At 40.3% G+C, this 13,681-nt stretch overlaps 1 pseudogene across 1 annotated transcript in view, besides 1 other annotated feature; it reads left to right on the forward strand.

Annotated features, from left to right (window-relative positions):
• The window catches only part of TPRXL (tetrapeptide repeat homeobox like (pseudogene)), a 128,678-nt pseudogene that overhangs the window by 14,619 nt on the left and 100,378 nt on the right, over positions 1 to 13,681 (forward strand). The window lies entirely within an intron of this gene.
• Positions 10,808 to 12,007: an enhancer, noted in NCBI's record as "P300/CBP strongly-dependent group 1 enhancer chr3:14004233-14005432 (GRCh37/hg19 assembly coordinates)". NCBI's record gives its function as "activates an origin of replication core promoter dependent on BRD2, BRD4, P300/CBP, MED14 and CDK7 cofactors, with strong dependence on P300/CBP, by STARR-seq in HCT116 cells {active_cell/tissue: HCT116}" and the evidence as "EXISTENCE:reporter gene assay evidence [ECO:0000049][PMID:35650434]".

Genomic DNA, 13,681 nt, shown 5'->3' on the forward strand with positions numbered 1-13,681 from the left:
TCCATCTTGTTCTTTCTGCTTCCTCTGCTTTGTCCCTGTTATTAAAAACTAAAAATTCCAAATCCAGAAGCTGTTCCATAGGAGTTTGGGGACCCGTAGCTGCTTTTTATAGTTTCCTACAGATATCAGGGGCAGACTGAGTTATAAAATGTACTCCCAAAAGGGTTTGTCCTTCCCTTGGGGCAGAATCAGTGTTAGTATATTTCCTGATTGCCTCAACTAAATGCTTTTGAAACAAAGCTGGATTCTCATCTTTACCCTGAGAAACTTCCTTAACCTTTGCATAGTTAACAGGCTTTTTCATATATTTCTTCATCCCTTCCAACAAACAAGTGACCATATGAGCTTTCCTTCCCAAGTCTTCACTGGCCCTTTGATACTTCCACTCTGGATCTTGATCTGGAACTGCTCTACATCCTGCCATATATATTATGGTTTGGGTTGTGAGCCAATACCTTATCTGCATGAGCCCTAGCTGTCCCCAAAACACATTGTTTCTCTTCCACTATACAACACAGAAACAACAAAACATGAAGATCCTGCCAAGTTAAACTATAGGCTGAAGTTAATTTCTCAAACTCATCTATGAATTGTCCTGGATCTTCAGAGAAAAGACCAAACTTCTCTTTGCATAGAGCCAAATCAGATATAGAAAAGGGAACATGTACTCTCACAGTGCCTTCTTCCCCATTTGCCACCTCTTTAAGTGGACAAAGGTTTCCCGTTGGAGGTTGATATGAGGCTCCACTATGAGTGGTACTTGCTGGGCTAAGTTCTTCAGGGAGTGGTGGGTACAGAGTGGGACTAGACGGGAAAGAAGGAGGGGATGAAGGGTTCTCAATAGAGCTTTCAGGTGGACTAGAGGGAGAAATGACTGACGCATCTGAACCTTCATAGCTGACAGAAGGAGGTTCTGGTCCACCCAAAAATGCCCAATGAACCAGGCGAGGTTTGCATCAAAGGATCATCTAGTATGTCTAATTCTTTTTCTTCCTTTCTTCTCATCAAACATGATGCACATTATCCAAATAACAAATAAATTTATAACCGAGCCATGAATCTTAGATAAACCACAACATGGACTCCAACACAAAAAATGTTGAATAAAGCAAGGAAATGAGGAGGATTTAGATGGGAATAACCAGAACAAGCAGATTCTGGGCAATAGCAGAGGAGCAAAGCCAGTTTGCCCAAATCCAATAAAGGAAAGAAGTGTTTTGTTTTGTTTTTTTAGTGTGCAAAATGAAACAAAACAGCAAGGAGAAAAGTCCCCTGATTTTTCTATCCTAGTGCTTCTCGATCACACTTAGTTGGCATAGCAGCAACAAAACATAACCACATTTGCCAGGCATGGTCGCTCACACATGTAATCCCAGCTCTTTGGGAGGCCAAGGTGGGTGGGTCACTTGAGGCCAGGGATTTGAGACCAGCCTGGCCAACATGGCAAAACCCCGTCTCTACTAAAATACAAAACTTAGCCAGGTGTGGCGGTGGGTACCTGTAATCCCAGCTACTTGGGAGGCTGAGGTAGGAGAATTGCTTGAACCCGGGAGTTGGAGGTTGCAGTGAGCCGTGCCACTGCACTCCAGCCTGGGCAACAAAGCAAGGCTTCATCTCAAAAACAAAACAAAACAAAAAGCATCTATCTAATCTTATTGCTCATAGCTATTAAATACCAAATCTCAATCAGCAATTTTAGAGACAGTGTTTAATGCTTTTTGTGCCCTTCTGTGGTCAAGAGAAATATGTTACAGGAAAGAGGTCTCAATCCAGACCCCAAGAGAGGGTTCTTGGATCTCAAGCAAGAAAGAATTCAAGGCAAGTCTGCAGTGTAAAGTAAAAGTAAGTTTATTAAGAAAGTAAAGTAATGAAAGTACAGCTACTTCATGGATAGAGTGTTCCTGAATATAAGAGGAGAAATGCGTCCACCCTAGGTACAATGCTTGTATATATATATAGGATTAAAAAAAGATTTTCAGGAGATGTGCTCTGCTGCAAGGGTTTGTGATAAAGGATTAATTTTCTTAATTACTATATTTTGCAAGAATTATTGTTATTATTATTATTTTCTTTTTTGAGACAGAGTCTTGCACTGTCACCCAGGCTGGAGTGCAGTGGCGCCATCTCGGCTCACTGCAAGCTCTGCCTCCCGGGTTCACGCCCTTCTCCTGCCTCAGCCTCCCAAGTAGCTGGGACTACAGGCGCCCACCACCGCACCCGGCTAATTTTTTGTATTTTTAGTAGAGATGGGGTTTCACCGTGTTAGCCAGGATGGTCTTGATCACCTGACCTTGTGATCTGTCCGCCTCGGCCTCCCAAAGTGCTGGGATTACAGGCGTGAAGAATTAATATTATTTTTAAAGCAAAATAATTTTTAAAGCAAAATTAGGAATGCTTTTGTTCTCCAGATATCAGAATATCTGGAAACTCCCAAGTCTGGGTCTGTTTAGTAAACATTATTAATTTGTTCCCTTAACTATAAACATCTAGAGGCTAGGAATGTCTAACTTTTTGGGAATGCAGCGCAGCAAGTATCAGCCTCATTTTCCTAACCCTCACTCGAAATGGAGTCGCTCCAGTTTGAATGCCTCTGACAGTGCCCTGAGCTAAATTTCTGAATGGAAGTCTTTAAGAGCTACATCCAAGCTGGTTTTTAAAAAATTGATTCACGTTGGAAGTGAGAGCAAAACACTGAAGTGTTTTGAACAACAGTGGGGGTGTTCTGACCCCACCTTCCCAAGACTGACTGAACGCCCCTCATTGATCATCCCAAGTGGATAATTGCCAAATCTTACCATTCCTCATGGAATTGTGGACACAACTTAAAGGTGATGCAGTTCGCCCTGAACCATCTACACTGTTTGGGGGCACCTGATCTGAATTAATGAAAAAACAAATGGTTGTGATTTTAAAAGAACCCTTATGATTCTCTTCCTTCATGTGCAGAAACTTAAACCAGTCCTACACAGCTGTTGCTGCTAGGAATTCCTAGGGGACGCGCAGTCTTGCCTAGATAAGGATGATTTGCAATTAGCATTAGCTGTTGTTGGAGTAGAGCTGCTAGAAGTGTTTGCATGGATAATTCTCTTGAGTATTTTGCATGGTTCCCCATCCTAGCTCCATCTTCTCCTTACCGCGAGTCTGGGTGAGGCGATTAATTTATTAGTTCTTTCTAGGATGAAAAGACCGAGTTTAATTTGGAGAATGTGGACTTGTGTGAGCTGCAAGAGGGGTAGAGAGGCAGAGCCGACAAGTTTATTGCATTAATAACTATCCGCAGGAGTGGACAACACCTGGCCCCAGCTGAGTGCCTCCTAGCACTGAGGAAAGCAGAACCAAGCTTTGCAACAATGAACTCTCCTTGCTGGAAGAGACCGCCCACCTCTAACAGGTGCTTACCCAGTGTACTTGAAATCCTCCAGCTACAGGGAACCCATCACTCCCAGAGCTGCCTCATCGGGTGCTGGGTACTCTGATCATGAGAAAGAGTTTCTTTCTGACTGAGGCATATACTGTTCCCCTCTAATACCCCTCCCCAACTCATGGTTCTTCTCTCTCAAGCCAGGTGAGGGAGCTTATTTCATCTTTTGTATGGCAGCCCTTCACAAATTGAAATCTGCTTCTGTTGAATCACAGAATTTTGTAGCTGGAGGAAACTTCAGACACAAGTCCTGTTACAGAAGAGGAAACTGGCACAGAGAGGAAATGGTGCTTGCATAAGGTCTCTGGGTAAGTTACTGGAGAAATCAGTGTGCAAACCCAGACTTCTTGACTTCTGGATCAGGAATTTGTAGTGAATTATGTGAGGGGATACCAGGTCTGGTTGTGCAGGCTGCGCATTGTACAATCACAAGAGCAAGTCCTTCACTTTTTGGTCTATGTATGGTGCCACCTGGGGTGTGCAGTGCACAGGCTGCTTGGCTATATGTGAAGGACCTGTTGCCTTGATCTGTACTTTTTTTTTTAAATTTTTATTTCAATAGCTTTTGAGGTACAAGTGGTTTTTGTTTTTTGGGGGTTTTTTTGTTACATTGGTGAATTATATAGTGGTGAATTCTGAGATTTCAGTGCACTGGACACTGGGCTAGTGTACATTGTACCTAATGTGTAATTTTTTATTCCCAGCCTCTCCCTCCCTTCCTCCCTCCCTCCCTCCCTTCCTGCCCGCCCTGCCGAGTCTCTGAAGTCCATTATATCACTCTGTGTGCCTTTATGTACTCATAGCTTATAAGTGAGAACACATGGTTTTTGGTTTTCCAATCCTGAGTTACATCACTTTGCATAATTGCCTCCACCTCCATCCAGGTTGCTGCAAAAGACATTACTTCATTCCTTTTTATAGCTAAGTAGTACTCCATGGTGTATAGTTATCACATTTTCTTTATTCACTCATTAGTTGATGGTCACTTAGGTTGGCTTCACATCTTTGCAATTGTGAATTGTGCTGCTGTAAACATGTATGTGTGCAAGTGTCTTTTTCATATAATGATCTTTTTTCCTTTAAGTTAGATACCCAGTAGTGGGATTGCAGGATTGAATGATAGAGTTACTTTTTAGTTATTTAAGGAATCTTCATATTGTTTTCCATAGAGATTGTACTAATTTACATTCCCACCAGCAGCGTATAAGCATTCTCTTTTTACCACACCCATGCCAGCATCTATTGTTTTATAACTTTTTAATAATGGCCATTCTAACAGGAGTAAGGTGGTATCTCATTGTGGTTTTAATTTGCATTTCCCTGATGATTAGTACTGTTGAGCATTTTTTTCATATGTTTGTTGGCTATTGTATATCTTCTTTTTAGAAATGTGTATTCATGTCCTTTGCCCACTTTTTGATGAGATTTTTTTCTTGTTTGAGTTCCTTGTAGATTCTGGATACTAGTTCTTTGTCAGATGCCTAGTTTGCAAATATTTTTTCACATTCTGTGGGTTGTCTTTTTACTCTATTTCTTTTGTTGAGCAGAAGATTTTTAGTTTAATTAGGTCCCTTTTTTGTTTTTGTTGCATTTGCTTTTGGGGTCTTAGTCATGAATTCTTTCTTTGCCTAGGTCGATGCCTAGAAGAGTTTCTGCAATGCTGTCTTGTAGAATTTTTATCGTTTCAGGTCTTATACTTACATCTTTCATCCATCTGGAGTTGATTTTTGTATAAGGTAAGAGATAGGGATCCATTTTCATTCTTCTATATGTGGCTATCCAGTTTTCCCAGCCCCATTTATTAAACAGGGTGTCCATTTCCCAATTTATGTTTTTATATGCTTTGTCAAAGATCAGTTGGCTGTACATGTTTGGGTTTTTTTTTTTAATTTAAGTTCTAGGGTACATGTGCACAATGTGCAGGTTTGTTACATATGTATACATGTGCCATGTTGGTGTGCTACACCCATTAACTCATCATTTACATTAGGTATATCTCCTAATGCTATCCCTCCCCACTCCCCCCGCCCCATGACAGGCCCCGGTGTGTGATGTTCCCCACCCTGTGTCCAAGTGTTCTCATTGTTCAATTCCCACCTATGAGTGAGAACATGCGGTGTTTGGTTTTTTGTCCTTGCGATAGTTTGCTGAGAATGATGGTTTCCAGCTTCATCCATGTCCCTACAAAGGACATGAACTCATCATTTTTTATGGCTGCATAGTATTCCATGGTGTATATATGCCACATTTTCTTAATCCAGTCTATCATTGATGGACATTTGGGTTGGTTCCAAGTCTTTGCTATTGTGAATAGTGCCACAATAAACATACGTGTGCATGTGTCTTTAGAGCAGCATGATTTATAATCCTTTGGGTACATACCCAGTAATGGGATGGCTGGGTCAAATGGTATTTCTAGTTCTAGATCCTTGAGGAATCACCACACTGTCTTCCACAATGGTTGAACCAGTTTATGGTCCCACCAACAGTGTAAAAGTGTTCCTATTTCTCCACATCCTCTCCAGCATCTGTTGTTTCCTGACTTTTTAATGATCGCCATTCTAACTGGTGTGAGATGGTATCTCATTGTGATTTTGATTTGCATTTCTCTGATGGCCAGTGATGATGAGCATTTTTTCATGTGTCTGTTGGCTGCATAAATGTCTTCTTTTGAGAAGTGTCTGTTCATATCCTTCGCCCACTTTTTGATGGGGTTGTTTGTTTTTTTATTATAAATTTGTTTAAGTTCTTTGTAGATTCTGGATATTAGCCCTTTGTCAGATGAGTAGAATGCAAAAATTTTCTCCCATTCTGTAGGTTGCCTGTTCACTCTGATGGTAGTTTCTTTTGCTGTGCAGAAGCTCTTTAGTTTAATTATATCCCATTTGTCAATTTTGGCTTTTGTTGCCATTGCTTTTGGTGTTTTAGACATGAAGTCCTTGCCCATGCCTATGTCCTGAATGGTATTGCCTAGGTTTTCTTGTAGGGTTTTTATGGTTTTAGGTCTAACATGTAAGTCTTTAATACATCTTGAATTAATTTTTGTATAAGGTGTAAGGAAGGGATCCAGTTTCAGCTTTCTACCTATGGGTAGCCAGTTTTCCCAGCACCATTTATTAAATAGGGAATCCTTTCCCCATTGCTTGTTTTTGTCAGGTTTGTCAAAGATCAGGTGGTTGTAGATACGCAGCATTATTTTTGAGGGCTCTGTTCTGTTCCATTGGTCTATATCTCTGTTTTGGTACCAATACCATGCTGTTTTGGTTACTGTAGCCTTGTAGTATAGTTTGAAGTCAGGTAGCGTGATACCTCCAGCTTTGTTCTTTTGCCTTAGGATTGACTTGGCAATGTGGGCTCTTTTTTGGTTCCATATGAACTTTAAAGTAGTTTTTTCCAATTCTGTGAAGAAAGTCATTGGTAGCTTAATGGGGATGGCACTGAATCTATAAATTACCTTGGGCAGTATGGCCATTTTCACGATATTGATTCTTCCTACCCAAGAGCATGGAATGTTCTTCCATTTGTTTGTATCCTCTTTTATTTCATTGAACAGTGGTTTGTATTTCTCCTTGAAGAGGTCCTTCATATCCCTTGTAAGTTGGATTCCTAGGTATTTTATTCCCTTTATAGTAATTGTGAATGGGAGTTCACTCATGATTTGGCTCTCTGTTTGTCTGTTATTGGTGTGTAAGAATGCTTGTGGTTTTTGTACATTGATTTTGTATCCTGAGACTTTGCTGAAGTTGCTTATCAGCTTAAGGAGATTTTGGGCTGAGGCAATGGGGTTTTCTAGATATACAATCATGTGATCTGCAAACAGGGACAATTTGACTTCCTCTTTTCCTAATTGAATACCCTTTATTTCCTTCTCCTGCCTGATTGCCCTGGCCAGAACTTCCAACACTATGTTGAATAGGAGTGGTGAGAGAGGGCATCCCTGTCTTGTGCCAGTTTTCAAAGGGAATGCTTCCAGTTTTTGCCCATTCAGTATGATATTGGCTGTGGGTTTGTCATAAATAGCTCTTATTATTTTGAGATACATCCCATCAATACCTAATTTATTGAGAGTTTTTAGCATGAAGGGTTGTTGAATTTTGTCAAAGGCCTTTTCTGCATCTATTGAGATAATCATGTGGTTTTCATCTTTGGTTCTGTTTATATGCTGGATTACGTTTATTGATTTGCATATGTTGAACCAGCTTTGCATCCCAGGGATGAAGCCCACTTGATCATGGTGGATAGGCTTTTTGATGTGCTGCTGGATTCGGTTTGCCAGTATTTTATTGAGGATTTTTGCATCAATGTTCATCAGGGATATTGGTCTAAAATTCTCTTTTTTGGTTGTGTCTCTGCTAAGCTTTCGTATCAGGATGATGCTGGCCTCATAAAATGAGTTAGGGAGGATTCCCTCTTTTTCTATTGATTGGAATAGTTTCAGAAGGAATGGTACCAGCTCCTCCTTGTAACTCTGACAGAATTTGACTGTGAATCCGTCTGGTCCTGGACTTTTTTTGGTTGGTAGGCTATTAGTTATTGCTTCAATTTCAGAGCCTGTTATTGGTCTATTCAGGGATTCAGCTTCTTCCTGGTTTAGTCTTGGGAGGGTGTATGTGTCCAGGAATTTATCCGTTTCTTCTAGATTTTCTAGTTTATTTGCATAGAGGTGTTTATAGTATTCTCTGATGGTAGTTTGTATTTCTGTGGGATCGGTGGTGATATCCCCTTTATCATTTTTTATTGCGTCTATTTGATTCTTCTCTCTTTTCTTCTTTATTAGTCTTGCTAGCGGTCTATCAATTTTGTTGATCTTGTCAAAAAACCAGCTCCTGGATTCATTGATATTTTTGAAGGGTTTTTTGTGTGTCTATCTCCTTCAGTTCTGCTCTGATCTTAGTTATTTCTTGCCTTCTGCTAGCTTTTGAATGTGTTTACTCTGGCTTCTCTAGTTCTTTTAATTGTGATGTTAGGGTGTCAATTTTAGATCTGTTCTGCTTTCTCTTGTGGGCATTTAGTGCTATAAATTTCCCTCTACACACTACTTTAAATGTGTCCCAGAGATTCTGGTGTGTTGTGTCTTTGTTCTCATTGGTTTCAAAGAACCATCTTTATTTCTGCCTTCATTTCGTTATATACCCAGTAGTCATGCAGGAGCAGGTTGTTCAGTTTCTATGTAGTTGAGCGGTTTTGAGTGAGTTTCTTAATCCTTATTTTTGGGTTCTCTATTCTGTTCCATTGGTCTATGTGCCTACTTTCTTTTGTTTTGTTTTTTGTTTTTTGAGGTGGAGTTCCGCTTTTGTTGCCCAGGCTGGAATGCAATGGCACAATCTTGGCTCACCGCGATCTCCAGCTCCCAGGTTCAAGCGATTCTCCTGCCTCAGCCTCCAGAGTAGCTGGGATTACAGTCATGTGCCACTGGGCCTGGCTAACTTTGTATTTTTAGTACAGACAGGGTTTCTCCATATTGGTCAGGCTGGTTGCGAATGCCTGACCTCAGGTGATCCACCCACCTCAGCCTCCCAAAGTGCTGGAATTACAGGCATGAGCCACTGCACCCAGCCTATGTGCCTACATTCATACGAGTACCATGCTGTTTTGGTGACTACAGCCTTGTTGTATAATTTGAAGTTCAGTAATGTGATGCCTCCAGATTTGTTCTTTTTGCTTAGGATTGCTTTGGGTATTTGGGATTTTTTTTGGTTCCTTAAATTTTAGGATTGTTTTTTCTAATTCTGTGAAAAATAATGTTGGTATTTTGCTGAGAATTGTGTTGAATCTGTAGATTGCTTTGGGGAGGTATCATTTTCACAATATTGATTCTTCCAATCCATGAACCATGGGATGTGTTTCCATTTGTTTGTGTCATCTATGATGTCTTTCAGCAGTGTTTTGTAGTTTGTAGAGATCTTTCACTTCCTTTTTAAGTATATTCCTAAATACTATAATTTTTTTTTGCTGCTGTTGTAAAAGGGATTGAGTTCTTGATTTGATTCTCAGCTTGGTCATTGTTGGTGTATAGCAGTGTTACTAATTTGTGTACATTGATTTTGTAACCCGAGACTTTACTGAATTCCTTCATCAAATCTAATAGTCTTTTGGAGGAGTCTTTAGGATTTTCTAGGTATACAGTTATGTCATCTGCAAACACAGATATTTTGACTTTCTCTTTTCCAATTTGGATGCCCTTTATTTCTTTCTCTTGTCTGATTGTTCTGGCTAGGACTTCCAGAACTATGTTGGATAGGAGTGGTGAAAGTGGGCATTCTTGTCTTGTTCCTGTTCTCAGTGATGCTTTCAACTTTTCCCCATTCAGTATGATGTTGTCTATGATAGGTCTGTCATATATGGCTTTTATTATTTGGAGGTAAGTCTCTTCTATGCTTAGTTTGTTGAGAGTTTTTTTAATCATAAAGGGATGCTGGATTTTGTTGAATGCTTTTTCTGCATCTCTTGAGATGATCATATGGCTTTTGTTTTTAATTATGTTTATGTGATATCACATTTATTGACATGTATATGTTGAACCATCCCTGCATCCCTGGGATGAAACTCACTTGACTATGATGTATTATCTTTTTGATGTGCTGTTGGATTTAGTTAGCTGGTATTTTGTTAAGGATTATTGCATCTATGTTCATCAGGGACATTGGTCTGTAGTTTTCTTTTTTTGTCATGTCCTTTCCTGGTTTTGCTGTCAAAGTGATACTGGCTTCTTAGAATGGTTTAGGGCGGATTCCTTCTTTCTCAATTTTTTGGAATAGTTTCAGTAGGATTGGTACCAGTCCTTCTTTGAGTGTCTGGTAGAATTCAGCTTTGAATCCATCAGGTCCTGGTCTTTATTTGTTGGCAATTTTTAAATTACTATTTCAGTTTCACTTTTTGTTATTGGTCTGTTCAGAGTTTCTGTTTCTTCCTGATTTAATCTAGGAGGGTTTTATGTTTCCAGGAATTTCCTCTAGGTTTTCTAGTTTGTGTGCATAAAGGTGTTCATAGCAGTCTCGAATGATCTTTTGTATTTCTGTGGTATATCAGTTGAGTATCTCAAGTTTCATTTCTAATTGAGCTTATTTGTATTTTCTTGGTTAATTTAGTTAATGGTCTATCAATTTTGTCTATCTTTTCAGAGAACCAGCCTTTTGTTTCATTGATATTTTGTATTTTGTGTTTAAATTTGTTCAAACTAAATTCAACCGAAACCAGCCTTGTGTTTCATTGATATTTTGTTTTTGTTTGAATTTCATTTCATTATTCTCTAATCTTTATTTCTTTGCCATTGCTAGCTTTAGGGTTAGTGTGTTCTTGTTTCTCTAGTTCCTTAAGATGTGACATTAGATTGTCAATTTGTGCTCTTTTGGACTTTTTGATGTAAGAATTTAGCACTATAAACTTTCCTCTTAGCACTGCTTTTACTGTTTCTGAGAGGTTTTGATAACATGTCATTATCATTCAATTCAAAGGATTTTAAAATTTTCGTCTTGATTTCAGTGTTAACCCAGAAATCATTCAGGAGCAGATTATTTAATTTCCATGTATTTGTATAGTTTTGAGGGCTCTTTTTTGGAATTGATTTCTAGATTTATTCCACTGTGGTCTAAGGAGATACTTGACATTACTTTGATCTTAAAAAATTTATTGAGACATGTTTGATAGTCTATTGTTAGAAATTAATTTTCGGTGCCACAAAAGAAATAGCACTTGAACATGAATTTTCTCAGCCAGGCAATTTTACTTCTATAGAAGTGTGTGTCTCTCAGATGGAGCAATGGCGAGAGCACACCTGAACAAGGGAGGGGAAGGGGTTCTTATCCCTGACACAGGTAGCCCCTACTGTATCATTCCCCCATTGGCTAGAGTTGGACCGCATTGTTTAAGCTAATTCCAACTGGCTATTTTAAAGAGAGCAGGGGTATAAACCAGAGTGGTGGGGTGAGCAGTTTCAGCAGGAAGGACAGTTATGGAACAGGTGACTAAAAGTGACTCAGGTCAGAGCAGGTGACCAGGGGTGACTCAGGATGGAGCAGGTGACCAGGGGAACAGATGTGAACTACTGATAGAACTGGTGGAAAAGGTTGTTTACTGAAACTAGGAGCAAGGAGATGAGGAGAACAAGGAAGTTCAACTTTAAAATGGAGAACAAAGAACTGAACATACTGATTCTTTGAAGAGAAAGTTAGAACTCACTGTATTTAACAATTTCCCCCCTCTTGAATTTTACAGTTCTTTCTCTTCAAACTTCCTTAACATGTCTTGGCTTAGTTGTTCTGCTTGATTCTCTAAATGAAGAAGCTTCTCTGAATAAGGTAGAGGAGAGTTAAGGGAGGTTTTAGTAAGTGCTGTCTCTATGAGTCTTTGCACCAGCCCACGGGTGCATGGTATGACACAACACCTGACAAGAATGAGTACACCTACTATGGCTGCGAGAGAAGTTAAGAATTGCGGCTGTGATTCCTTTCCATTTACCAAACCATTTTCCTAGCCATCCTGTGAAGGGGTCATTTACTCCTGAGCTTTTGGCTAACTCATTGGACAGAGCAGTTGGACCTTGCAATGCCTTTGTTATACTTCCATCAGGGGCGGTATTGTTTGGGATGAAGGTACAACATTGAGTTTTAATCATGATGCAAACTCCTCCTCTTTCTGCTAATATCATGTCTAAGGCTGTTCTATTTTCCCAAGCCATCTGGCTAGTAGCCCCTAATTGCTCAGCTATTCCTTTAGCAGTACCTCTAGTGTAGTTAATAAACTGCTGTTGGTTATAATAAATGTAATTTATCCAATCTACTTTTTTATTTTCACCCACCAAAATACTGACTCAAATCCTGTAGCTGTTTGATCTCGAGCTTTAACTTTATCTGGTTAAAGCTCATGGGACTCCAATTGCATCTAAATAAATGTGAGAGTCGAAAGACCCATAAGGGGCTTCCCTTGTTTTACGATGTTGTATTTTCCCTCTCTCTAGTTGATGAAATGCCAGGGTGAAAGGAACAGCCAACTGGACTAGAGCACAAGTGTCACTCCAGTTACCAGGCAGAGTGTCCAGTAAAGGTTGACCACTACCACCATACATCTGCTCGGGGATGAAAAAGGGCTGATTGATCAGTAAGCTCTTGAAAATTCTTAAGCTCACTGCATCCCTTCAGGTCTCCAAAACACTAAGTTTCCTCCTTGTCGTGAGAGACATGAAGCGAACTTAGTGTCGGAAGACAGAGACTGGATGGCCCTCGGGCTGACCTGCAGGGTGTTGAACTTCGGGATATAGCAGAGAGAGAGCTTGGCACGACTTGTTACCCCAGGCTGTGGAATCCTGGAAAAGAGCTACCATACGGCCCATGCCTGGTCGACTGGAGGACCATCCTAGCGGAAATGGGACAACCTGGGCCTCTGGCCTGCTGTGCGCACAAGCATAATGTTTGCTTTTGTTTAAAGTGCGGACGGAATATTTGATCCATTCCAACCAGGCATTCGTATCTTGTTATCCTGTCTCAATTGCCAAAGTTTGTTTTACATCTTTAACTTCTACAATAGCTACCTTGGTCTTGTCATTAGATGGGGGAGGAACAACCGTTGCGTTGTGAGAGGTTTTGGAAGAAGGCTTAGGGGAAGGTGTAGGTGGTGGCGGATCAATGAAACGTGTTTCAAAGGATCCGATAGAGTCTGTTCCTGAAACCTCAGCCCCCATAAAACCGGCTTCAAGAAGGGAACTGGCTTAGAGAAGGGGAAGAACTTTGAGGGTTTGGGATAATAACCTGTATTGGATTGCACTGGTTTAGCTGACAGTTAGGGGAAGCTGTTCCTTTAGTAAAATGACTTTATGATTTTAGGAAATTACAACTACTGGTTGGGGCAGTCCATCCTTGCTCTTTAGTGGTCCACAGAACGTTGGACCAACTATGGCATAAAAGCTCTGGATTGGGGATGGGGGGAAAGACTCCCAGTTGACACTGGGGTCTTCATTGAAATCTTCCTAGACTAAATGATCCCAATTCACCATGTCCAGTCTGAGGGGCACCTGGAAGGACAGAGGTACTTTTCTGAAGTGGAGAGCTATCTTTGACTTGGCCAGTCTCCACAGAGTATAACAAGGCAAGCATCAAATGTAATAGTTTGAGGCAAAATTGACTTGGTTACATTAATAGCTAGGTGGTCAGTAATAGAGTGAGGAAATAAGGAGTAATGGAATAGATGAAAGAGAGTTAAATTTTTCTTAGCTTTAGTTTGGTAGGGGTTTCCCCTGGGACTATGGCCCATGACTCCAGGGTGGGG

Source organism: Homo sapiens, chromosome 3 (genome assembly GCF_000001405.40).
Source record: "Homo sapiens chromosome 3, GRCh38.p14 Primary Assembly".
NCBI lineage: Eukaryota > Metazoa > Chordata > Mammalia > Primates > Hominidae > Homo > Homo sapiens.